At 47.0% G+C, this 26,649-nt stretch overlaps 1 protein-coding gene and 1 pseudogene across 5 annotated transcripts in view, besides 1 other annotated feature; one reads left to right on the top strand and one right to left on the bottom strand.

The window, feature by feature from the left end:
* The window catches only part of GLG1 (golgi glycoprotein 1), a 159,675-nt gene extending 140,107 nt beyond the window's left edge, over positions 1-19,568 (top strand). For 3 of the 5 annotated variants that reach the window (NR_027265.2, NR_027264.2, NM_001145667.2), the window contains 8 exons: positions 1,195-1,332; positions 3,529-3,652; positions 4,378-4,520; positions 4,813-4,914; positions 7,219-7,326; positions 9,014-9,134; positions 10,253-10,359; positions 13,674-19,568. Coding sequence is in view for 3 of the 5 variants with exons in the window: in NM_001145667.2 (NP_001139139.1) it covers positions 1,195-1,332; positions 3,529-3,652; positions 4,378-4,520; positions 4,813-4,914; positions 7,219-7,326; positions 9,014-9,134; positions 10,253-10,359; positions 13,674-13,841 (1,011 nt within the window). In the remaining 2 variants the exon portion in view is untranslated. The remainder of the gene's footprint in view (positions 1-1,194; positions 1,333-3,528; positions 3,653-4,377; positions 4,521-4,812; positions 4,915-7,218; positions 7,327-9,013; positions 9,135-10,252; positions 10,360-13,673) is intronic. The other 2 variants (NM_001145666.2, NM_012201.6) reach the window with 1 other exon arrangement.
* Positions 3,694-4,893: an enhancer, noted in NCBI's record as "MED14-independent group 3 enhancer chr16:74496013-74497212 (GRCh37/hg19 assembly coordinates)". NCBI's record gives its function as "activates an origin of replication core promoter dependent on BRD2, BRD4, P300/CBP and CDK7 cofactors, and independent of MED14, by STARR-seq in HCT116 cells {active_cell/tissue: HCT116}" and the evidence as "EXISTENCE:reporter gene assay evidence [ECO:0000049][PMID:35650434]".
* Positions 10,397-10,467, bottom strand: RNU6-237P (RNA, U6 small nuclear 237, pseudogene; annotated as a pseudogene).
* Positions 19,569-26,649: the final 7,081 nt, after the last annotated feature.

The following is a 26,649-nucleotide window of genomic DNA, read 5'->3' as shown; positions in this document are numbered from 1 at the left end:
AATCTCACAATCTATGTGTTCCTTCAGTTCTGGGACATTCTCAGTCATTGCTCTTTCACATACTGCTTTCCCTTTCCTTCCTTCTGGAACTCGTGTTAGGCAATTGGAGCATCTGAGTCCGTCTTCCATGTCTCTTTAACTTTTTCTTTGGTACTTTTCATTTCTTTGTACTACATTTTAGGTAACTCCTCAGTTCTCTTTCCCAGCATATAATTTATTCTTCAGCTTTGTCCATTCTGCTCCAGGAGACCACCAATCAAGTTTTGTTTTTCATTTCCTAGCTTTCTCATTGCTTCTTTTCATAACTACCTATTCTTGATTCTTATTTACTGTTGTCTTCTGTGTTGTTCTGAGGATTTTAAGTATATTTTAAAATTCTGTTTTGATTGCTCTATTACCCCTTTCCCTCAGTTTTTGACTCCTTGGTTCATTTTATTTATCATCTTTCTTATGATATTAGTGTTCCTCAACTAGTTAGTGATTCTTGGCCATGCCTTGACGATTTCCCGGAAGTCTCATGGCTTCCTGCGATAGCCCCAGCTGCTGCACCTTCCCATCTGCTTTCCTTCTTTCTTTTCATGATATCTGAAGGTTTAGGGAAGGGAAGATTTCAGGATATACTTAATTCACTACCTTAAAATTCATTTCATGACACTTTATGCTTTTGTATTTTGAGTGATAACTCATCTTTTTCTAATCATAGTTACTTGTTTACATAAGTTTGCCCTGTGTAGCTGTGAATTTATCAGGCTGAGAATTGGGTCTGATTCATATCTAGCATCCAGTAGTCTTTCTCAGGTGGTAAATAGTGGGTTGAATTGAACCTCCTGGTTTGTGCCCACTGTCTAGTCGGAGCTGTTGCTCTGGGAAAATGCAGAGAGCCTATCTCCAAAATGAATGTGGACAAGGAGCAGCTCTGGAAGGCAGAAGAAACCAGAAATCGTGGGTGTGTTTCTTTTCCATTAGGCTGGAGCACAGCCTGCCAGTCATCCTGAGTTTTTGTCTAGTTGGGTTTGCTGTCAGCTGTAAGGTTGTAAATCCTTATCTTTGGTAAGGAAATCCTGATTCCGATTGCCTGGGAATGAGAAATGGATAAAGAAATGGGAGGCACAGTGGAGCTGAATGTTTCAATCAGAACACATGGATGAGCAGTCTCTGACATCTCTCAACTTGACTATAACTCTTTTGCCATAGATTATCGAATGTCTGAAAGAAAACAAGAAGCAGCTAAGCACCCGCTGCCACCAAAAAGTATTTAAGCTGCAGGAGACAGAGATGATGGACCCAGAGCTAGACTACACCCTCATGAGGGTCTGCAAGCAGATGATAAAGGTGAGAAGCCGACACCAAAGGCCGAGCACGGATGAACAACAAAACAACAAAGCACAAACAATGGCAGCAACTTCCTCAGGCTCAGCTTTCTCAAAGTGTGGTCCCTAGACGAGCAGCAGCAGCAGCACCCCCTGGGAGCCTGCGGGTTCCTGGGCCCCCCTCCAGATCTGCTGAATCAGAAACTCTGGGAGTAGAGCACGAAGTCTGCCTTAGCTGCCTCCCTAGGGGGTTCTGATGCAGGCTCAAGTTTGGAAACCACAGAGCTGGGATAACTGACCTCACTTTGACCTGAGGCACAAGTAAATGGATGTGCAATAAATAAATGATTGGTTTTGAGGACGATTAATAGTAGCTGTACTAAGAAAGTCACCATCTAATGTCCTGATCATCCATCTGGCACATTCAGAAGATTTTTCTGTTTTACAGGTTGTTTTGCTTCATTCCCTCCTCCAGCAGGTATTCCCTGCAGCAGGGCTGACCTGAGTACCTAGATGTCAGTTCCCTGATCTCGCCACACATACATTAAACTCAAGGTTCGGCAGGGCACGGTGGCTCACGCCTGTAATCCCAGCACTTTCAGAGGCCAAGGCGGGAGGATCACCTGAGGTCAGGAGTTCGAGACCAGCCTGGCCAACATGGTGAAACCCCGTCTCTACTAAAAATACAAAAATTAGCCGGGTGTGGTGGCACATGCCTGTAGTCCCAGCTATTCAGGAGGCTGAGGCAAGAGAATCGCTCCTGGGAGGCGCAGGCTGCAGTGAGCCAAGGTCATGCCACTGCACTCCAGCCTGAGCGACAGAGTAAGACTCTGTCTCAAAAAAGAAAAAAAAAATTTTTTTTAAACTTAAACTAAAGGTTCTAGCTCCTTTATTTCAGCTTTCCTTTAAAGTAAAATGCTACTTTTTACACTATCAAATAAATTCTAGAGAGAATTTTGAAAGTTAGAATGTAAGTCTTTTTAACTGGCCTGATGAAATTGAGTCATATGTAAAAATGGAAATGTCAGGCTCTGATGTGAGAGAGCTTTGGAAAATTTTCTAAAAGTCAGTGAACAATCCATGTCTCCATAACAAGATGTCAGCAGGTTATAATCACACTCTTTAGAGAACTAGAAACAGAACTAGGAAGAGAGGCTCAGTGCTCAAGTGTCTCAACCAGAGTTTATCAGACACTGTGACACTTGAAGACTTGCGGATTAGCAGAACGGATAGGGAGTTTATTACTAGTCCACAGCTGATCCCTGACTTAAAGGACAGCAGTAAGTGTACAGGACCCTACCCTTTACTGCTTGGTAGGATTATAGCCCTGTAATTAAGATGAACCAAGTGGGTCCTTAGCCCACATCCTTGTTCACATTGGTTAGTGGAGAATTCCTAGGTTTCCCCACTAGAGTTGGGTAGGTAGGGCTTGAGGGCTGTACAGCCACCTGGTACAGTGTTACATTCATGCTTAAACAATAAGTTCCTCAGATGCCATTAAACTTAACATCACCCTCTAGATAGGGAACCAATCCTGTGTAAGAACCAGTGAGGCAGTAGAAAGAAATGTGAGAAATAGTAGAGAATAAGAAAGAAAGGGGAAGTTGGGGTGGGGTGCTCTTTCAGGCCTACCTGCTCCTCTTGTACCACGTGATGCCTTCAGGCTGCTGCTTTCATCAGCTTTTGGATAGATGTTAAGGGTGACCACAGGCTGGTCCAAGTGCGGTGCTGTTTACAACTAATTGATCACAGCTACTTACAGATTTATTTGTTCTTCTACATTCCTGTTGCTTCACTTGACTAGCCTTAAAAAAAAAAAAAGTGGCCAGGCGTGGTGGCTCATGCCTGTAATCCCAGCACTTTGGGAAGCCCAGGTGGGTGGATCACCTGATACCAGGAGTTCAAGACCAGCCTGGCCAACATGGTGAAACCTCATCTCTGCTAAAACAACAACAACAACAACAAAAAAAACACAAAAATGAGCTGGGCGTGGTGACGCACGCCTGTAATCCCCGCTACTCAGGAGGCTGACTTGGGAGGCTGAAGCAGGAGAATCGCTTGAACTCGGGAGGCGGAGGTTGCAGTAAGCCGAATTGCGCCACTGCACTCCAGCCTGGGTGACACGGTGAGACTCCGTCTCCAGAAAAAAAAAAGTGGTCGCAGATGGAGTTAATCGCCATGTTTAGATAGCTGTTTTTATCAAACTGTTTCTTTGCAGAGGTTCTGTCCGGAAGCAGATTCTAAAACCATGTTGCAGTGCTTGAAGCAAAATAAAAACAGTGAATTGATGGATCCCAAATGCAAACAGATGATAACCAAGCGCCAGATCACCCAGAACACAGGTAAGATCTTGGCTTGGCTCTCCTGGCCCCGTGGAGTATCTGAAAAGGAATTCAGTGGCTGTAGAGTGACCTGCTCAAACTCCCAGGGCTTTGTTGCCTGGGAATTTTAAGGGAGGAGTCTGAGTGTAAGCAGGGCCTTCCTCCTTTGAGGAGCATCCAGAAAAATGGAGGGAGAGTCAGGGGAGAGAGGAGGCCACAAGAACCAGAAAACTGCCCTAAAAGAACGTTCAGAAGGAATCAGGCCGGCAGTCCTTGGAAAGAAAAATCTAGAAATTCAATAAAACTTCATGAGTGTGCCAGGAGAATGTACGGGTAATCTGATTCGGAACAGAAACATTTCACCTCTGAGTTGGAAGACCTCGTAAGTTAATGGTCACAGTGAGTTGGATATTGTATTTCTTTTTCAGTGTTCTCAAAAGTGTCTGTTATGGGGAAGGTTGCTGATGTCCCCTTGATTTTTCTGAGGACTCCTTAGAGTATTGGAGTCTGCACAAAACCCCGCAGAGTAGAAAGATTCCTGAGGACCTCCAGAAGTACTCGTTAACAAGTCATATTGCTGATTAAAAACAGTGTAGTGAGAGCTCAGTAAATGTTTATTGAATAGATAAATCCATGGTTGTAGTCATGATCATTGACATAATATGCTCCCTTTAGGAAGGTGGATATCTAAAAATGTGTGAATCAGGTGGAATGTTTTGTCACATGCTCACTGCTTTCTACTCTAGATTACCGCTTAAACCCCATGTTAAGAAAAGCCTGTAAAGCTGACATTCCTAAATTCTGTCACGGTATCCTGACTAAGGCCAAGGATGATTCAGAATTAGAAGGACAAGTCATCTCTTGCCTGAAGCTGAGATATGCTGACCAGGTAAACTGGCCTGGGCTCTCCACAAAGGTGTATTTATGGAGCCTCTGTCCCTGGGAATTTTCTCTTTTGAAATCCCTAGCTTGCTCCCGTTTTCCCAAGACCTTTTTCATATCTTCCCGAACCTGGGGGGCTAAGGGGCCAGATCAAAAGCAGGCATTTTGTTTTTTCTTGTTCTTTTTGTTTTTTTCTTGTTCTTGTGGTTGTTGTTGTTTGTTTTTTTTTTCATGTCCTGCTTTTGTAGAAAAGCTTCGTTTTCTGATCAGCCCATGTATCCTCCCTTTGTCACATGCAGCGCCTGTCTTCAGACTGTGAAGACCAGATCCGAATCATTATCCAGGAGTCCGCCCTGGACTACCGCCTGGATCCTCAGCTCCAGCTGCACTGCTCAGACGAGGTGGGATTTGCGTGCAAAACTGGTTACGCACAGAGCTGCTCAGAGAAGTTTCCACTGGAGAAAAGTTGTTTACTTTCTCTCCCTTCAGCCGTGAATGATCTGGTGAATTGAAGGCCATCTTCTAGGCTCTCCATGGTCTGCATTCCTGTTCTTTGTAACACTGAATTCAACTTGGCATTAGTCCTGACACTCTAAAGCGTTGTTCCATATTTCTCTGTTGAACAAGGGTGTTCTTTCATTATAGCTCTCTGTAAATTTGTTCTTCCCTTCTTCTTATTCTGGATGGTAAACCCAAGACCTGCCAGAAAGATAAAAGTGCTTTCAGCTGGGCACGGTGGCTCACGCCTGTAATCCCAACACTTTGGGAGGCCAAGGAGGGTGGATCATCTGAGGTCAGGAGTTCAAGACCAGCCTGGCTAACATGGAGAAATCTGTCTCTACTAAAAATACAAAAAATTAGCCAGGCGTGGTGGCGTGCACCAGTAATCTCAGCTACTCAGGAGGCTGAGGCAGGAGAATCACTTGAACCCGGGAGGCGGAGGTTGCAGTGAGCTGAGATCATGCCACTGCACCCCAGCCTGGGCGACAGAGGAAGACTCTGTCTCAAAAAAAAAAAAAAAAAAAAAAGCCCGGGCGAGGTGGTTCACCCCTGTAATCCCATCACTTAGGGAGGCTGAGGCGGGCAGATCATGAGGTCAGGAGATTGAGACCATCCTGGCTAACACAGTGAAATCCCAGCTCTACTAAAAAAAAAAAACATTAGCCCGGCCCGGTGGCGTATACCTGTAGTCCCAGCTACCCGGGAGGCTAAGGCAGGAGAATGGCATGAACCCAGGAGGCAGAGCTTGCAGTGAGCCGAGATTGCACCGCTGCACTCCAGCCTGGGCGACAGAGCGAGGTTCCATCTCAAAAAAAAAAAAAAAAAGTAATTCTATAATGGCCGTAAGGAAGTGCCCATCTTTGGAGATTATTGGACTTCTTAGCTAGAAAAGGCCTTGTGGAGAGCGTGTTCAACATATGTTAATTTCAGGAGCTCATAACAAAAGCTGTTACAAAAAAGCTCACTCATAAAACTGTCCAAAGAAACTTAATATTTTTGTCTTTGCTGTGGGCTGTGTTTCTCAACTCCTGTGTATGTGTGCGTGTGTGTGCGGGTACGCGCGTGTGCACACTTTCAAGTTGAGAGTCTGGTTTGACCCTGAACCTATGTGAATGTCAAGCGTTTGCTTTTCGTATTTGATTTGGTTATATATAACCTTGCTCCTGTGGAATCAAGTAGCAGCCTTCTTTTTGACAAGTCCTGAGATCTGACTCAAGTCTCAGTGTTTACAGTGTAAAGATATGACATTTATTGATTTTCCACTCTGTGTGCCAGTCCTTGTGAAGAATGAAGCCTGGCATCCAATATAGGAGGAGGGGCACGAAACCCCCAGGAAACTGTTTGTGATGAGCCCTGGCACAGGTGTGGGACGATCATCAAACTGACATGTTTAGAGACCAAGGGTTCTGGTGATAGCAGTGCTACTGCCCCTGGCTTGTAAAACAGCAGTAGGCCAGTGAAGAGGGGGCACAGATCCTGCGGTGTCCAGAGCTGATTGGAATCACCGGACTCATCTGCTTTTGAAACTGTCAGTTCAGGCCGGGTGTGGTGGCTCATGCCTATAATCCCAGCACTTTGGGAGGCCAAGGTAGGAGGATCACCTGAGGTCAGGAGTTCAAGACCAGCCTGGCCAACATGGCGAAACCCCATCTCTACTAGAAATACAAAAATCAGGCCAGTTGCGGTGGCTCATGCCCTGTAATCCCAGCCCTTTGGGAAGCCAAGGTGGGCAATCACCTGAGATCAGAAGTTCGAGACCAGCCTGACTAACATGGAGAAACTCTGTCTCTACTAAAAGTACAAAATTAGCTGGGCATGGTGGTACATACCTGTAATTCCAGCTACTCAGGAGGCTGAGGCAGGAGAATCACTTGAACATGAGAGGCAGAGGTTGCGGTGAGCCGAGATCGTGCCATTGTACTTCAGCCTGGGCAACAAGAGCAAGACTCTGTCTAAAAAAAAAAAAAAAAATCAGCCAGGCATGGTAGCACGCGCCTGTAGTCCCAGCTACTCAAGAGGCTGAGGCAGGAGAATCACTTGAACCTAGGAGGCAGAGGTTGCAGTGAGCCGAGATCGCACCACTGCACTGCAGCCTGGGTGACAGAGCTTGGCTCTGTTTCAAAAAATAAAAAAAAAAAAGAAGAAACTGTCAGTTCATTTCTGTGCTCAGTGGGGTAGCTTTGTTTTTTGTGTCTCCTGAACAGATCTCCAGTCTATGTGCTGAAGAAGCAGCAGCCCAAGAGCAGACAGGTCAGGTGGAGGAGTGCCTCAAGGTCAACCTGCTCAAGATCAAAACAGAATTGTGTAAAAAGGTAACCACCGTCACCTTCTTTTCCTCACTTCATTTCTTTTTTTTTTTTTCTCTTCTTCCTTTTAATGCTGTAGTCTGCCTACCTTGGTAATAAAACCAAAAATCTCAACCTTCTGCCCAGCACTCTTTTCTTGCTGTTCCTTCTTACCAAACTTTCATTTGATTTTGACTGCTCATCTCCTATAATGTGAATATTCTTTTCTTTTCTTTGAGACGGAGTCTCGCTCTGTTGCCCAGGCTGGAGCGCAGTGGCGTGATCTCACTGCAACCTCTGCCTCCCGGGTTCACGCCATTCTCCTGCCTCAGCCTCCCAAGTAGCTGGGACTATAGGCGCCCGCCACCACGCCTGACTAATTTTCTGTATTTTTAGTAGAGACGGGGGTTCACTGTGTTAGCCAGAATGGTCTTGATCTCCTGACCTCGTGATCCACCCGCCTCGGCCTTCCAAAGTGCTGGGATTACAGGTGTGAGCCACCGCGCCCAGCCAAAATTAACCTTTTAAAAAAGAATTTCACTGATGTCATTATTGAATAATTGAGAACATTGTGTGCACATTTTTTCGTCTGTTAAAAATGTGGAAAGCTAGATCCGTATATTTTCCTTTGCCTCTTTTATCATCACATGATCCCATATAACTTTGGGGAGGATTTTAGAATATTATTTGGCCTTTGGTTTTTGGTTTTTATTTCTCTTACTGTTGTTTTATAGGGACTAGAGTCTTGTCTGGAGCATACTAACTTTTATTTATGGAAACATTTCTGGCCTATCTTTACCTCCCATAGTTCCCTTATGTATAAATGGAGAATCTGCAGAGTTGATTTCAGTTCCATCATGTTGATATTCCTCTCATTCAGGACATCTGTAAACACAAATAAGAATTGCTCTTGTAGTAGATGTTATGCCCTGTCCTTTCTGTTTTTCTTTCTGAGGACAACAGAGGTAAAGTAGAACATTTTGTAAACAAATGTGCCTTTATCTAATTGGTATTTTTTTGTTTTTGTTTTTCTTTGAGATAGGGTCACACTTTGTCTCCCAGGATGGAGTGCAGTGGTGCAGTCATAGCTCACTGGACCTCAAACTGGGCTCAAGCAGTCCTCCCACCTCAACCTCCCAGGTGGCTAGGACCACAGGGCACACGATTATGCCCAGCTAATTTTTTTTTAAATAATTTTCTATAGAGATGGGGGTCTTGCTGTGTTACCCACACGGGTCTCAGACTCCTACCTCGGCCTCCCAAAGTGCTGGGATTACAGGCATAAGCCACCACCCCCAGTCCCGATTGAGAATTTTAATATAGCATATTACTCTGATTTTAAGATTTCACGTTTTCATATTTCTTAAAGTAACACAGTAATTGTATCACACCAATAAAAATATTAACGTTTAGGTATTTTAAAATGATACGACATGACATACGGGAATGCCAAAAACACAAATCTGATCTTACAGTCACTTACAGTCCCCTGCTTTTTTCCAACACACAGTTTTGTATCCCTAAAAGTAGTTAGTTACTCAATTAAATTCTGCATTCTGTACATCATCACCACCTTGCAACCTGTCCCAAAGTGGTCTCTGTTGTTAGCCCTCAACTTCCCCCCTTTTTTATTAGTATATGAAGTATTTACAGACAACAGATCTGATGCATTTCCCCTTCAAAAGCTCTGTCTGCAATGACCCTCCCTTTCCAGGAAGTGCTAAACATGCTGAAGGAAAGCAAAGCAGACATCTTTGTTGACCCGGTACTTCATACTGCTTGTGCCCTGGACATTAAACACCACTGCGCAGCCATCACCCCTGGCCGCGGGCGTCGTAAGTCTCTGTGTTCACTCTTGATCCTGTCTGAACTCTCTTGGGAAGAGCAAAGACTCCCTCTTAGACATCAGTTGCAGCTACTGTGGTCTGTATGGTCTGTAGTTGTAGCCCAGTCATAGACAACATTCCCTGGGGACCTGGGTGATGCCAAAACTAGACCTTTATGGCATCATGAATTTAGGAATAAGCCTGCGAGTTTGAACTGGCCTTGTCATGACTGGAGCTAAAGATTTGATGAACAGGGAGAATTGAGGTATTTATTAGGGAAGCAGAAGTTAAAGTCATCATCATGGTCCTTTTCCTGGTGCCGAAACTAGAAGCCAGCTTCACACACTTCCCCGGTGACGACAGTGGACTCAGTAGACAGGTTCTGTGTGAGGAGGGAGCCAAGGCAAGTGTGAGAGTTCTTTTTGAGCCACGTATACCCAATAAAACTAATAGAAGTTGTTTGTTTGTATTTTTATTTATTTTTTTGAGACAGAGTCTCACTCTGTCACCCAGGCTGGAGTGTGGTGGCATGATCTCAGCTCACTGCAACCTCCGCCTCCTGGGTTCAAGTGATTTTCCCACCTTAACCTCCTGAGTAACTGAGACTACAGGCACCCACCACCATGCCTGGCTCATTTTTGTATTTTTTAAGTACAGACAGGGTTTTGCCATGTTGGCCAGGCTAGTCTCAAACTCCTGACTTCAAGTGATCCACCCACCTCGGCCTCCCAAAGTGCTGGGATTACAGGCATAAGCCACTATGCCCAGCCTGTTTTCGTTTTAATTTTTTGAAACAAGGTCTTACTATAATGTAGTCTCAAAGTCGTGGGCTCAAGGGATCCTCCTGCCTCAGCTTCCCAAGTATCTGGGATTACAGGTGTTTGCCACCACACCTGGCTCTAAAAATAAGGAGGTTTTAAGAGAGGCTTCGGACGCCAACCCTGGAGGTTACATATCATTTCTCTCCATTGTTGGATCCTGGATCAAGTTTCCTAGTATGTATTTAACTTTGTTGAGCCTGCAGATCTGAATTCTCTGGTGGTTGTGCACCCTCTTCCTCATCTTTACAGAAATTTCTCTATTCTGTACAGTTTCAGGTTCTTCTTATTATTCATTTCCTCCCACAGAAATGTCCTGTCTCATGGAAGCACTGGAGGATAAGCGGGTGAGGTTACAGCCCGAGTGCAAAAAGCGCCTCAATGACCGGATTGAGATGTGGAGTTACGCAGCAAAGGTAATGACCAAGAGAATCTCCTTTTTTAAAAAAACAAAAAAATATGGAACACTTCACCAATTTGCATGTCATCCTTGAGCAAAGGCCATGCCACTCTCCTCGCTGTGGCTGTCCAGCCTCTTTTAGATATCGCACTGGTCTTGTCCTTATTGTGAGACTAGCAATAAGTGCGTTTGAAAACGTGGTCAGGGCCGGGCGCGGTGGCTCGCGCCTGTAATCTCAGCGTTTTGGGAGGCCGAGGCAGGCAGATCACGAGGTCAGGAGATCGAGACCAACCTGGCCAACACGGTGAAACCCCGTCTCTACTAAAAAACAGTAAACATGGTCAGTGTGCTTTTAGAATTCCTTGGCTGCCCGTGAGCCTGGAGCCGTCTCCCTGTGCATCGGGCTGTCTGCAAGGCTTTGCCAGGGCCCTCCTTTCTCATTTCGCCCACTGTTCACCGCTGAAAAGTGAGTCACCCAAAGACAAAAGAGATGTCACACCCATGGCAAAAGAAAGAAATCCAGCCTCGCCTATGATGAAGCTTGCTTTTATCATTTTACAGTCTTTAGGAGAAAAATACATATTTGAGGCCAGTACTCATCTGGTCTGGAACATGGAGAAGAAGGGGATGAAGAAAGACTGTAGGACACTCATGAATGTGTATGATACCCAGGTAGACTTGGGCTAGGGGTAATTTTTCCTACAGAGGTTCAGCCTCAGTGAGAAGAATAACAGTTCTTCTCGTGCATACATTGCTTTGTAGTTTACATAACGCTTTGGTGGACGTATTGCCTGATTTGAACTTTGAAACCCTGTGAGGTAAGTATAATGACTGTTTCGTCACTTTACAGTGAAGGAAACTGACTTCAGAGGTCACGACTTGCCCAGAGTCCCTCTGGTTTTTAGAGCCATGCTTTTGTATTGACTCATATTGGGATAGACATCTGCAGTGGCCTAAGATCAAGAGAGTAATCCCAGGACCACCCCTCCTTCCTGGCCAATTTTATCACCCTTTTACTTCCAAGTCAAGGGTAACAAGTCAAGAGGAACAATCAGAGAAAGTCTTCATAGGTCGACAGCAGGAAGGTACAAGGGAGGGCTCCTGTCTGTCACAGTAGTCAACACTCTCCTCACCCTTCTGCCAAGGGAAGAAAGTTGCCTTTAAAGCCGGTGGCTCAGGGAAGCGGCAGCAGGAGATGCTGCGTTACTTCATTCTGCCTCATTGTGTCCAGTCCTTTGAGCTGTGTATTATTGCTTCAGAGTGACTCAGAGTAATTCACGGCTTGTTTTGTGTTGGCAACTATTGGAGCTCAAATCTCATTCATCTCACGCCTCCCTACTCTGTTCTGTGTACGTGATATGAGCATAGAAACAGCCCAGATGCCTCTGGGCCACACCATCTCAGCAGCCAGGCTGGGATGCAAAAGAATGGGGACATGTGCACCTGGGGACCCTTTTGGTCCTGATTCTGCCATAGCAGGCTACCATCAAGGTCCGTTAGGGAAAGCAGTGGAAAACTGAGGATGAAAGATAGCTGAGGTTAAATTATAAATGTCCACAAGTGGAGGGCGGTTAAATATATTCTGTCAATATAAGTCTTGTTTGCGGTGCAGTGGTGTGAACATGGCTCACTGCAGCCTCGAACTCCTGGGCTCAAGTGATCCTCCTTGAGTAGCTGGGACCACAGGTGCACGCCACCACACCCAGCTAATTTTATAATTTTTTGTGGAGACAAGGTCTTGGCTATGTTGTCCAGGCTGGTCTCGGCCTGCACATTGTTTTTGATGTGGGAAATGCTTATGATATAATGGTGAATGAAAAAAGTCAAAATACAGGCTGGGTGCAGTGGCTCACACCTATAATCCCAGCACCTTGGGAGACCGAGGCAGGAGGATCACTTGAGCCCAGGAGTTCGAGACCAGCTTGGGCAACATAGGGAGACCCCATCTCTAACAAAAAAAAAAATTTTTTTTTTTTTTTTTTTTTTTTTTTTTTTTTTGGGGACGGATTCTCGTCCTGTTGCCCAGGCTGGAGTCCAGTAGTGCAGTCTTGGCACACTGCAACCTCCGCCTCCCGGGTTCAAGCAATTATCCTGCCTCAGCCTCCCCAGTAGCTGGGATTGCAGGCGAGCGCCACCACGCCCAGCTAACTTTTGTATTTTTAGTAGAGACAGGGTTTCACCATGTTGGCCAGGCTGGTCTTGAACTCCTGACTTCATGGTCCACCATCTCAGCCTCCCAAAGTGCTGGGATTACAGGCGTGAGCCACCATGCCTGGCCAAAAAAAATTTTTTAATTAGCCAGGCATGGTGGTGCACTTGTAGTCTCAGCTACTCAGGAGGCTGAGGTAGGAGGATCCCTTGAGCTCAGGAGTTTGAGGTTGTAGTGAGCTGTGATCGCACCACTGTACACCAACCTGGGCAACAGCGCGAGACCCCAACTCAATGAAAAAAAAGCCAAAATATAAAATTTAGAAATAATATAGAATTTACAAGGCCGGGCGCAGTGGCTCATGCCTGTAATCCCAGCACTTTGGGAGGCCGAGGTGGGCGGATCACGAGGTCAGGAGTTCAAGACCAGCCTGCCCAACACAGTGAAACCCCGTCTCTACTAAAAATACCAAAAAAATTAGCTGTGCATGGTGGCGTGCACCTGTAGTCCCAGCTACTCATGTGGGTGAGGGAGGAGAATCGCTTAAACCTGAGAGGTAGAGGTTGTGGTGAGCTGACATCATGCCACTGCACAATGCCTGGGTAACAGTAAGACTTTGTCTCAAAAAAAAAAAAAAATAGAATTTACAAAATATAGAATATGTAAAACGATGTCAACTTTTATCTTTGTTTTTTAAAGAAAGGCAGCAAACGCATTTAAAGAGCATAAACCAAAAGATAGAAGAACCCATGGCCTTATAGAAGTCATTTAACCACACTCACCCCTGGGCACTGATTCTCCATCCAGAGTATGGGAGTGGTGAAATCTGCTTGCTAGGCTTGGTGTGAGTGCTAAATGAGTGAGGGCAGGGGGAGCCCTTCGTCCAGGGCCCGACACATCTTCAGTGTCCTGGTGTTAGTGGTGATCACTGTGATGGAATTGTGGGTGACTGCACCACTTTGTCTCTTTCTGTATTTCTAATTTTGTGCAGTAGACGTGTGTATAGTTTTATGATCAGGAAAAAGAGTTGTAGCTCTGTGTTGATTTTTCTTATCTCCTGCCCTCCCTCTCCAAAAGAAAAGACATAAATTAAACTAGGAACTGAGAGGGATAAGTTAGACCTAGCACTGCCACCAGCCCAGTGCTCTCTCAGAGAATCACATTGCCTTGTGTCATTCTAGGTGGCCCCAGCAGATGGCTTCTCTGATCTTGCCATGCAAGTAATGACGTCTCCATCTAAGAACTACATTCTCTCTGTGATCAGTGGGAGCATCTGTATATTGTTCCTGATTGGCCTGATGTGTGGACGGATCACCAAGCGAGTGACACGAGAGCTCAAGGACAGGTAGAGCCACCTTGACCACCAAAGGAACTACCTATCCAGTGCCCAGTTTGTACAGCCCTCTTGTATAGCATCCCCACTCACCTCGCTCTTCTCAGAAGTGACACCAACCCCGTGTTAGAGCATTAGCAGATGTCCACTGCGTTGTCCCATCCAGCCTCCACTCGTGTCCATGGTGTCCTCCTCCTCCTCACCGTGCAGCAGCAGCAGCTGGTCGCTGGGGTTACTGCCTTTGTTTGGCAAACTTGGGTTTACCTGCCTGTAGACAAGTCTCTCTCATACCAACAGAACTTCCGGTACTTCCAGAACCAACTCACCTGACCTGCAACTCAAAGGCTTTTTTAAGAAAACCACCAAAAAAAAAAATTTTTTTAAAGAAAAAAATGTATATAGTAACGCATCTCCTCCAGGCTTGATTTGGGCAATGGGGTTATGTCTTTCATATGACTGTGTAAAACAAAGACAGGACTTGGAGGGGAAGCACACCACCCAGTGTGCCATGACTGAGGTGTCTCGTTCATCTCTCAGAAGCACCTTGGGGCCTCGCCAGGGCCGTGGTCTTCACCGAGGCGTGGGTGGGCAGCCGTTCCCCAGGCTGTGTGGGGTCCTGCTTTCTTCTGCTGAGACAGTGACGCTTTCCAGTTTCCACCCTAATCAGCCACTGCTGGTCACAGCCCCACAGCCATGGGTATTTCTGTGGTCTCCTCGCTTCATTGAAGCAAAGCATGAGCCTTCCTAGACAAGGGCAGCTGGGGAGGGGAAGGGACCGGAAGTTTGTGAAGTTGAACAGTCCATCCATCTGCACTGAGAGGCTGGATCCTGAGTCCCGGGGCAGCAGGATCCCAGGAACCTTCCTCCTCCAGGGCAGCACAGGACTCAGCCATGTCTGGACCGGCCCTGCTGAGGCTACAGTCACTCTGGAAGCTCTGCGCTTCATCAGGAGGCAGGACTGTGGCGGGAGGGGTCCTTGAAGATGGGTGTGGGGAGCAGTGGGTCAGGAAGTGGGAGCCAGAGGTTTGACTCACTTTGCTTTATTTTTCAGGCTACAATACAGGTCAGAGACAATGGCTTATAAAGGTTTAGTGTGGTCTCAGGATGTGACAGGCAGTCCAGCCTGACCTTTCTGCACACTCCAGACAAACTTCCCAGACAAGCTCCTTTGTGCCTCTACGTGGAGAGGGTGTGGAAAGTTATCACATTAAAAGATGGAGGATTTGCTCTGTTTTTTTTCTTTCTGTCCATTTGCTGCGTGTACCCACTCTAGTAGGCATTGGCTAAATGTTGTATTTTGGCGATTCATCAACCTTTGCAGAATATGGGCTTTATAGAAGCAATATTCTTGGCCATCCCGCCTCATTCCTCCAGTGTGGAGATGACAAGTCTGGGTGTGAGAGGGAGGGGTCCGGGCATCATGGTTCAGCGTGGCACTCCTTTGGTTGAGTTTGGGGCATGAGATCACAGTGGCTGCACAAGAGAGCAGTGTGTACAGTAGGAGAGACATTTATGTAATATATATTTTATTAACCTGTTAGATGTCCACAAAGTATTATAAATCACGTGCCTAAAACTGTCCATGTAGACCAAGGCCTGCCCTCGGCGCCCCCCACTCTTGCCTCTGCTCTGCACAGTCCACGTGCACTGCAGGACCGGAGCGACACATGTCTTCCCTGAAGGGTGTTCAGTACAAGGCGTGTCAGTTTGTGGATCAGTTGATCCAAGTTACTCCTTGTCTAACCTGACTGACATATATTTGAATACTGTGGTTTTCTTTCTTTTTTTTCTATTTGCTGCCCTTCCTGGAGGCAGTGGGTTCCAGAAGCCAACTGATTGTCCCCCTGCCAAGTCACCAAGGGAAGCTGCTAAGCTGCTTAGTCCCCTCGGTCCTGCTTGTAGGGTCTTCCTGATTGTCAACAGCTGTCTGGGATGCTTCAGTCTCCTAAAACTGGAAACGCAGGGTGCGAGCAGCACACACTGCCTCCCGCCACTGCCAGCCGGAGTGAGCGGCCCGAGAGTCTCTGCAGGTTCCCCTGGGGGCTGGGGGCCGCTGAGGCCTAATATCAAGAGCCAGGAATGTCATGTACATGGAGGTGCCTACGGACGTGCCTGGTGTGGTTTGCAGGTAGGATGGATGTTCACTGTTTGACCGGGTGGGGTATCCTTCCTCTCTGCAGTCTCCTTCCCAGTATGCGTAAACACCCTTATAGTTCTAATTGTGTTGATATTTCTGTTCTTTCTGAATTGAGAGAAAATCCCATTCGTTGTCTGCAGATTTGGAAGTTTGATGAGGAATTTGGTTCTTGAAACATCTGTCTTTTTTTTTTTTTTTGAGACAGAGTATCTCTCTGTTGCCCAGGCTGCAGTGCAGTGGCGCGATCTCAGCTCCCTGCAACCTCCACCTCCTGGGTTCAAGCAATTCTCTGCCTCAGCCTCCTGAGTAGCTGGGATTCCAGGCACCCGCCACCACGCCTGGCTTATTTTTGTATTTTTAGTAGAGATGGGGTTTCACCATCTTGGCCAGGCTGGTCTTGAACTCCTGATCTCATGATCCACCCGCCTCAGCTTCCCAAAGTGCTGGGATTACAGGTGTGAGCCACCCTGCCTGGCCAAAACATTTGTCATCTTTATAAATGGTCAGAATAGAAAAGTTAGCTCTGCCAGTATCTTCAATTACTTATTACAAGAATGTCTTTCATCATCTTACTTGGAGCATTTTCCAATGACTGGCTCTTGAGAGCCCCAGGCAGGGCCCCGAGCAAGTTTTTCTAAGTGCCAAGGCCAGCAAAGTCTGAACTGGCCGCACTCATTAAGTCCCTCATTTGGCAAAACAAAACAGGGCCTGGGGCACCCCTGGTTCCTGGCCTTATAGGTCAGTCAACTGGCTGAGAAATGGTCAAGAAAAGAAACAATGACCCTTCTGTGGATGTGAGTGGATGATGGACTCTGGCCTGTGTCTACTCTCCTGATGTGTAGCCCACCAACAGTAATAGAAGTAGAGGGTAGGGGGTTTTGCCAAGGCTAAGGCTTCAGGTACTTGCTAACAGTTATAGCAGCTGGGTCACTGTCATCTGGACTTACCAGTTCATGCCAGTGTCCCTGTGACTTATGCATAGTGTGCGCCACAGCCCTCTAGAGGTACCTGGAGCCCGGACTGCCAGGCTGGAGGCTCTGGGGTACTGAAGGTGAGCTGTCTGGGCAAACTATTAAGAACAAGACGAACTGTTCACAATGGAGCTTCTCCCACAGATGGGGAGCTCTGTGAGGCCTTCACCTGGGTGCATGTTGGACTTCCATTGCTGTTGCTGTTGTCCCTAGACAAGCCCGTTAGCAAGAAGCACCGGCAGGGGAGCCATGCACTCCATAGGCTTGGGATCACCCCCGGGAAAGCGATCTTCCCCGGGCTACCACCCCCAGCTGCAGTTCTGTGTTAGTGCATCCTTCAAAGCTAGGAGAATTCTAGGGTGACCAGTGAGCTAATGTTGAGTGAGCAGGTATTGACTTGAACACACTGCAGGCCTTTGGCTGTCTCATGCTGTCCTTACTCTTCTTGGGAACAGTGAGTCACTCAGCTGGCCAGGGTGGGGATGCATCCTGGTGAAGAGACAGCTTTCCCTGAAGATGCTACAGAAAGTTACTGTCAGATTTCATTTGTTTCTGTTTCCTGAGATCAACTAACAGAAGAATCTAATGGTGAGAGTGTCTTCATTCATGTTTTACGTTTTATCAAGGCACACTGGAAAGGGAATTATGTGGCTGACTTCCCTTGGCCTTCCCAAGAGAAGATTCTGTTCTTATGTCAGTGTGGCTTCTGGAAGTGTCTCCTATCCTCCCATCCTCCAGGCCTGTGGTGTGACTTCTGCCCCGAAGTTCCTACTATAGTGAGTCATCTGGGGAGAGGCCACTGAAAAGAGGCCTTCCCTTCCCATTTCCTCCCCTGCCTCCTTAGAACACACTCTAAGTCAGAACTTAATCTAAGAAGAAGGAAGCTGGACCAGGAACCTTGGAAGTCAGCCAGCCCTAGAACAGTCAGCCTAAATTTTGGCCGTAATGGCTTTTTTGGTTTTTTGTTTTGTTTCTGAGATGGAGTCTCACTCCGTTGCCAGGCTGGAGTGCTGTGGCGCTATCTCAGCTTACCGAATCCTCCGACTCCCTGGTTCAAGCGATTGTCCTGCCTCAGCCTCCGGAGTAGCTGGGATTACAGGCATGCACCACCACACCCAGCTAATTTTTGTATTTTTAGTAGAGACGGGGTTTCACCGTGTTGTCCAGGATGGTCTCCATCTCCTGACCTCATGATGTGCCCACTTCGGCCTTCCAAAGTGGCCGCAAAGTGGCCCACTTCGGCCAAAGTGCACTTCGGCCTTCCAAAGTGCATTACAGGCGTGAGCCACCACGCCCGGCCTGGCCTTTTTTTTTTTTTTCTTTTGAGACACAGTTTCACTCGTTGCCCAGGCTGGAGTGCAGTGGCGCAATCTCGGCTCACTGCAACTTCTGCCTCCTAGGTTCAAGCAGTTCTCCTGCCTCAGCCTCCCAAGTAGTTGGGATTACGGGCATGCACCACCATGCCTGGATAATTTTTTCTTATTTTTAGTAGAGACAGGATTTCATCATGTTGGCCACGCTGGTTTCGAACTCCTGACCACATGTGGTCCACCCACCTTGGCCTCAATTATGTGCATTTTGGTATATTTACTTGTATTTCAACATCTTGTGAGTTTGAAAAACCTGAAAGGCCAGAATGCTTCCTTTTATTTCTCACCATTTGGGCAGCACCTAAGTGGTTTTGTAAAATGCAGCATCTGGTGCTGTGGGTCTCTCTCAGGCCTTGAGGGACACTTCCTTCCTCCCCACTCGCCTCCTCTCCACTAGACTTTGGTTCCTAGAGGGCGTGGGGCCGGGTCTGAGGTTCTTGCCTGCCTTCCCTCCCATTGGTCTTTGGTTGCTCATCCCTCTAACTGCACCCCTTCTTGGTCCTTCCTCCACAGACTTCAGATAATAGATAAGTCATTAGCAAACCAGACCGAATCTTTAGGGTGAAGAGCTCCCCAAAGCCATCTGGTGAGGTCATTGTGGGGACCAGGGACTGATTATTTGTCACCTGGATCACAAAGATGGGACTGTCTGCTCAGGCTGGTGGTGACAGGATCCTGACCCGTGGTCCTCTCCCGCTCCCTCTGCTCCACCAGGACACATGTATAGGACACTGTGCTGTGTGCAGTGGAGAAATCTCCCTGGGCCAGGGGAAAGTTCAGACAGTGCCTCTAGATTGTGTTTTGCCTCCTCCAATGTAGAGTTGACATCTGGACCCCAGAGCCCAGCAGGGCTTTCTGTCAGACATGCTAGGGTGGTAGAAATGGGCCCTCCAGGTCCCCCTGCAGTGCACTGGGCAGAGACCTCCGGAAAGCCGGCAGCGGGAGCGCTTCCTGGGCAGCTTCCCCCAGCACAGTGTTCCCAAACCAGTCCATCCGGAAAACAGTCTGTACAGCAAATGCTGTGTGAGATCTTAGGCTTTTCACTTTTTTTGTTTTGTTTTGTTTTTGAAAGAAAGAAAAAAATACAATTAACAAGCCTCTTTTGTAAATGGGTTTCCTTTCTATGTATAAAATCGTGGTGGTCCCTTGTTTTTACATGTTCATGCTGTGTAATTTTGAGATGTTACTGAGATATGTTCTGAACATAATGTGCATTTTTTTCTGTACAGATGAAATGGGAGAATTTAATAAAGAGTTTGCAGGTTTTTACTTGTTAAATCTTCTCTGTGGTGACTGGGAGGAACCTCAACCACCTCTCTGCTAGTGGAAGCAGTGGCCTTGAACTTGCCAACTGATGCTCACAAACCTTGCTGATCAGGTCCTTAGTTCTTGACCAGTTAGGTTCAGCAGAGTAGGACTCAAGGACTTTTAGAGGACTAGGGACCTTGATCCCCTTGGTTTCTGTATGCTGCTAGTAGCAGAGCTGGAAGTCACGTCTGGGGTTTTCTGACTCTTGAGCCAATGTGTCCAGAATTATTCATTCTACTGATATGTTTAAGCCCACATCATGAGGCTCTGTCCTGGGGAGAGCAGAATCTGGCAGCTCTGTGTACAGATCTGACGTGTGGATGGCTGGTCCTGAGAGGCGCCTGATCTTCAGTGGCCACCCTTCCCCATCACCCCCTTGTCAGTCTTCTCCCTCACATTCCAGCAGCCCAGTCCCTGCGTCAGTAGCCTTTCCAGACCTCCTCCCTGAGCCTTCTGCTGCTGCCTGTCTCGGCGAAGTTAATTTGCGTCTGCGTGTTAAAAATGAATGGCTTCAGGAATTTGCATGGTAGCAGGGGTTTCTTGAAGTGGTAATATCCATACTACGATTTGAGGAATGAGATGTGCTGCGAGAGGAGGCAGATACTTGGGACCCAGGGTTTGTTCTCAGAACTCATGCCCATCATAGGCAGTTGTCACCTAGGAGGCTGTGGGCCCAGACATAGAGGAGAGACGGGGAGAAGGTGAAGAGTAGAGGAGGAAGAAGGAGGAGGGACTTGGGGTCCTTGTGAGTCATCACTGCAGATCTTGCTCTGTCTAGGGAGCCCAAGGCAGCCATCAGTCTCTGCATGTGGGGAGCCTGTCCGTGAGCGTCTTGGAGAGGCTGCCTGCTTTGATCTAAGCTTAGGAAGGTGGGGTCCATGGTTCAGGCTCCTTGTCACCAGTGCACCCTACAAGGGAGATTTTGGTTCACCTACCCCAGCTCCACTCTGCCCCATAAGTGGACGCCACAGCCCCAGAGGCCCTGGCGGTGATGGAGACAGCTGCCCAGCTGAAGCCTTAATAGTCTGAATGTATCGCCCCCACCCTCACATTTTATGTGTGAAGATGTTTCTGGTAAAAAATCCTTGGCCAACATAATCCTCAGAGGCATTTGGCATTTGTCCTCAAAAGGGGCTAGGAATTAAAGAGTTTTAGCCAAAATGAGGAGAACCTTAGACATCCAATTCTCACTTGATGAAAAAGTGAGGTGCAGAGAGGGGAGGCCCTTCTCAGACAGCTGATCAGCAGTGCCCAGGAATGCCTGCCCCACCAGGCACTGTCCCTCTCACTGGCCAGATTAGCCTGGGGACCTGAATGAATGACCAAACTAAAACCCCAGCTGCCATTGGGTTGTAGGAGAAGATAGGAACATCCCCAACGCAGGATGCTGCAGACTCCCCAGACAGGCCTTCCCTGGGAGCTCTCGGCCTCGGCCCTAAATCCCTACCTCACTTGCCCACAACAACCCACAGCAGAACAGTGTCTTCTCAAACACTCTGTACTTGGGGAGACACTTGGACGATGTGGAAGAGAAAAGCCAGGAGGAGAGGGGCAACAGGGGCAGCAGACTAGGAGGAAGTTGGCTCAAATGAGGAGGTAGGGGCTGGAGCACAGGCCGCTCTTCTGAGGACTAGGCAGTTGCTAGTGCTTGGCTGTCATACTCCAGGGCCCTGGCAGGACTATGCCTTTCTCCTGCCTGGGTCTTGGAGCCAGGGACTGCTCCTTGACCCATTTGGCTGGGAGACCCCTTAGGGTGGGCCAAATAGCAGGGATTTCTTCAGAGAGCAACCAGGATCAGGCCATAGAACTGAGCTGCACCCAACAGCCCCAGGTAGCAGTAGGTGACAGCAGTGAAGATCTGTTCAAGTTTCACTGCAGGGCACACAGGCCCAGGTGAAAGGTTGGGCTGACCTCTGACATTGTGTTTCCATGGGCTTTTCCTGTCTGCCACTGCCACCTCCCAAAGAGCAAGCTCTCTGGCTCACTTACTCTCCGGGAGGTTGTAGTATCCCCATTTTATAGATGGAAAAGTTAGGCTTAAGTTCTGTAAGGACAGCAGTGGTTTTCTTTTCTGTTCACTCTGTAGCCTCAGAACTGGGTGTAATAGGTAGGCGGGTGGATCTGAGGCCCAGAGAAGGTAAAAGACTCACCCAAGGGGCCCCAGAGAGTTGGGGACAGAACCAGAGACTGAGTCTAATACTTTCCCAGATGTTTTTCTTTTTTTCTTTTCTTTTTTTTGAGACAGTCTCGCTCTGTCACCCAGGCTGGAATACAGTGGTGCAATCTCAGCTCATTGCAACCTCTGCCTCCCAGGCTCAAGCGATTCTCCTCCTTCAGCCTCCTGAGCTGGGATTACAGGCACATGCCACCATGCCCAGCTAATTTTTGTATTTTTAGTAGAGATGGGGTTTCTCCATGTTGGCCAGGTTGGTCTTGAACTCCTAACCTCAAGTGATCCACCCGCCTTGGCCTCCCAAAATGCTGGAATTACTGGTTTCTTTTTGAGACAGGGTTTCACTCTGCCGCCCAGGGTGGAGTGCAGTGATGCGATCTCAGCTCACTGCAACCTCCACCTCCTGGGTTCTAGCGATTCTCCTGCCTCAGCCTCTCGAGTAGCTGGGATTACAGGCACCCGCCACCATTCCTGGGTAATTTTTATATTTTTAGTAGAGACGGGGTTTTGCCATGTTGGCCAGGCTGGTCTTGAACTATTGACCTCAGGTGATCCTCCCTCCTTGGCCTCCCAAAGTGCTGAGATTACAGGCGTGAGCCACCTCGCCCGGCCTGTGAAGTCCTTAAGATGGAGATTTACAAAGGAAAATGAAAGCCAGAGGTGAGGTTTTGGTTTAAGTGAGTTGCAGAGGCAACAGTAACTAAAGGGTCAGGATTGTAGAGAGGAGAGCTGACAGCCTGCAGCCACTTGCATTTGCCAACTCTGGCCAGAGGCTGAGGATCCAGGTTTTTTATGTTTTTATAGTCTCACCAGCCGGAGTGACAAAATTTGGAGGCTTGAATGGCCTCGAATAGATGGCTAGGTCTCAAGCCATCTGGTGAAATCTGAATACACAAGATGCAAACCTGAAACACTAAGCTTAGACCTCTCTAAAGCAGAGCGGAATTTTGCAGAGTCACAGTGCTGAGTAAAAAAATTACCCAGGAATGGTGGCAGGTGCCTGTAATCCCAGCTACTCGAGAGGCTGCGGCACGAGAATCGCTAGAACCCAGGAGGCAGAGGCTGCAGTGAGCTCAGATCGCTTCACCGCAGTGAGCTCAGATCGCGTCACTGCATTCCAGCCTGGGCGGCAGAGTGAAACCCTGTCTCAAAAAAAAAAAAAAAAAAAAAAAAAAGAAACCAGTAATTCCAGCACTTTGGGAGGCCAAGGCGGGTGGATCACTTGAGGTTAGGAGTTCAAGACCAACCTGGCCAACATGGAGAAACCCCATCTCTGCTAAAAATACAAAAATTAGCCAGGCCTGGTGGCGTGTGCCTGTAATCCCAGCTCAGGAGGCTGAAGAAGGAGAATCGCTTGAGCCTGGGAGGCAGAGGTTGCAATGAGCTGAGTAGACAGTTTTCAAGATCTCTCAAAAGGAGGGAACCTGGGGAATACTATGGGATTTCAGTTGAAAGACTTGGAGAGCTAGGCCCTGGGAACAGAGGCAAGTGAAGTAGACAGAACCCTGTCAACACTGCATCCCATAGACCTTGAGCTAATAAACACAGAAGGAATTACAGAATTAGAAAGTTACCATTTGATAACCAACATAGTAAAATCGTCTCAAGCAAGTCGAGTCAGTGGATAATAAAACTAGTGAGGCTGGGTGTGGTGGCTTATGCCTCTAATCCCAGCACTTTGGGAGGCCAAGGCAGGCAGATCACTTGAGGTCAGGAGTTCAAGACCAGCCTGGCCAATATGGTGAAACCCCATCTCTACTAAAAATACACAAATTAGCTGGGTGTCGTGCTGTGCACCTATAATCCCAGCTACTCAGGAGGCTGAGGCAGTAGAGTCGCTTGAACCCAGGAGGCGGAAGTTGCAGTGAGCCGAGATCATGCCACTGCACTCCAGCCTGGGAGACAGAGTGAAACTCTGTTTGAATAAAAATAAATAAATAAAAATAAAGATATCAGTTTATGTAGCTATACTATATCAGACAAAGTAGACTTTAAGACCAGAAAACATTATTAAAGATGTATACTTAATAATATAAAGGAGTCAATCCATCAGAAAGACATAGACCAAACCATGTCAACAACTGTACTGTAAATGGTCTAAACGCCTTTATATGGTTTGGCTCTGTATCTCCACCCAAATCTCATGTCGAGTTGTGTTCCCCATTATTGGAGGAGAGGCCAGGGGGGAGGTGATTGGATCATGAGGGCGGACTTCCCCCTTGCTGTCCTCTTGATAGTGAGTTCTCACAAAACTTGGTTGCTTAAAAGCATGTAACTCTTCTCCCTTCTCTATCTCCTGCTCTGCCATGGAAGATTTCCCTGCTTCCCTTTCGCCTTCCCCCATGATTGTAAGTTTCCTGAGGCTTCCGCAGCCACACTTCCTGTACAGCCTGCAGAACTGTGAGTCAATTAAACCTCTTTTCTTCATAAATTACCCAGTCTCAGGTAGTTCCTTATAGCAATGCAAGAACAGACTAATACCTCAAATAAAAGTCAGATTGGATTTTTTAAAATGAAACACCAGCCTGGGCAGCATAGCAAGACCCACCCCCAATCTCTACAAAAAAAAAACTTTTTTAATTGGGCGTGGTGGTTTGCGCCTGTAGTCCCAGCTACTCAGGAAGCTGAGGTGGGAGGATCGCTGGAGCCCTGGAGGTTGAGGCTACAATGTTCCGTGAACTCCACAGCCTGAGCAATATGGTGAAACCTCATCTTTACCAAAAATACAAAAATTAGCCAGGTGTGGTGGTGCATCCCTGTAGTCCAAGCTACTTGGGAGACTCAGGTAAGAGGATCACCTGAGCCTGGGGTGATCTGTGATCATGCTACTGCACTCCAGTCTGGGTGACAGAGTGAGGCCCTGTCTAAAACAAACAACAACAACAACAAAAACCACTTGAGAAAAGCTTTAAAAAAAAAATTTTTTTTTTTTGGCTGGGCGTGGCGGCTCATGCCTGTAATCCTTGCACTTTGGGAGGCCTAGGCAAGCAGATTGCTTGAGCCCAGGAGTTCAACATCAGCCTGGGCAACATGGTGAAACCCTGTCTGTACCAAAAGAGATACGAAAATTAGCCGGGTTTGGTGGCATACTCCTGGAGTCCCCGCTGCTCAGGAGGCTGAGGCAGGAGGATCGCTTGAGCCCAGGAGGTGGAGGTTGTGGTGAGCGGAGATCTGACACTGCACTCCAGCCTGAGCGACAGTATGAGACCGGTCTCAAAAAACAAACCAAAGCATAGATTGGAAAGGAAGAAATAAAACTTTTATTATTTCCAGACAACTTGATGGAATATACAGTAAATTTTTAAATGTATAAACCATTAGAATTAATAAGTTAGTTTAGCAAGGTCACTGAGTATCAGGTGAACACAGAAAAATAAACTGTATTTATACCTAACAGCTACAAATAGAAAATGAAATTGCCAAAACAATATAATTTATGATAGCATCAAAAAGCATCAAATACTTAGAAATAAGTCTAACAAAATGTAACTAAATGGAGGGATATACTATGTATATGCATTGGAAGACTCAGTATTATAAAGTTGTTGGTTCTTCCCAAACTGATGTGTGGTGTCAAAGTCATCTCAACCAAATCCCAGCATGGTTTTTGTGGGTGGAAAAATGGCAAGCTGTTTCTAAAATGTTATATGGAAATGTAAAGGACCTAGAATATCCAAGGTGATCTTGAAGAACAACAAACCTCCGACTTATCCTACCAGGAACCAAGACTAAAAAGTTACTGTAATGTGAAGACAGTGAAGTATTGGTACAAGGATGGACAGATGGACTAGTGGAACAGAATACAGAATACAGACAACAGAAACAAAAACACCGAGCTTCTGGCCTTTATGAATGTCACTGTCAAGAAGAAGGAGGAAGGTGCAGAGCGTTAGATTCATGTCAAAAAATCAGGGAACCAAAGGTTATCCCTTACAAAGTCCTCCATGTCTCACCATGTCCAGCAGCGTTCCTTCGCTTTCACTGCACCTTGGAGAAGAAGGAAAACTGTAAAACAGTTTGTAGGCGGATCCCAGCTTTGGCTTGAACTTCGGAGAGCCTCCATCAGTGACAGGTATGAAGGCTCTGCACAAAAATCCTGGGCAGCTGCCATACCAAAAATAATCCCGGATGCTCACAGAACAGGGTCGTTGCCTGCCACTGTGGGGTCAGAAACCTGGCATCTTAACTTTTTTTAAAAACAGCTTTATTGAGATATAACACACTTCATTCAATTCAGCCATTTAAAGTGTACCCCCTGGCCGGGTGTGGTGGCTCATGCCTGTAATCGCAGCACTTCGGGAGGCCGAGGCAGGCTGATCACTTGAGGTCAGGAGTTCAAGACCATGCTGGCCAATACAGCAAAACCCTGTCTCTAATAAAAATACAAAAATTAGCTGGGTGTGGTGGTGCACACCTATAATTGCAGCTACTTAGGAGGCTGAGGCAGGAGAATCACTTGACCCAGGAGGTGAAAGTTGCAGTGAGCCAAGATTGCACCACTGCACTCCAGCCTGGACAACAGAGTGAGACTCCAGCTCAAAAAAATTAAAATGTACCCCCATTCACCCCAACTCCTTTCATTCCCATGAAACTTTCTGTCTTTATGGATTTGTCTATTCTGGACACTTCCAATAAATGGAATCACATAATGTGTCACCTTTTGTGGCTCTGGATTCTTTCACATAATGTTTTCAAGGTTCATTCAGGTTGTAGCATGTATCAGAAATGTATTCCTTTTCATTGTAGAGTAATAGTCCATTGTGTGGATGTATTTTTTTTTATCCATTGATTAGTTGATGTTTGCATTGTTTCAGGCCAGGTGCAGTGGCTCACACCTGTAGTCCCAGCACTTTGGGAGGCTGAGG

The sequence above is a fragment of the Homo sapiens genome, chromosome 16 (assembly GCF_000001405.40).
Source record: "Homo sapiens chromosome 16, GRCh38.p14 Primary Assembly".
NCBI classification, from domain to species: Eukaryota; Metazoa; Chordata; class Mammalia; order Primates; family Hominidae; genus Homo; species Homo sapiens.
This window is presented reverse-complemented; position numbering and strand designations above follow the sequence as displayed.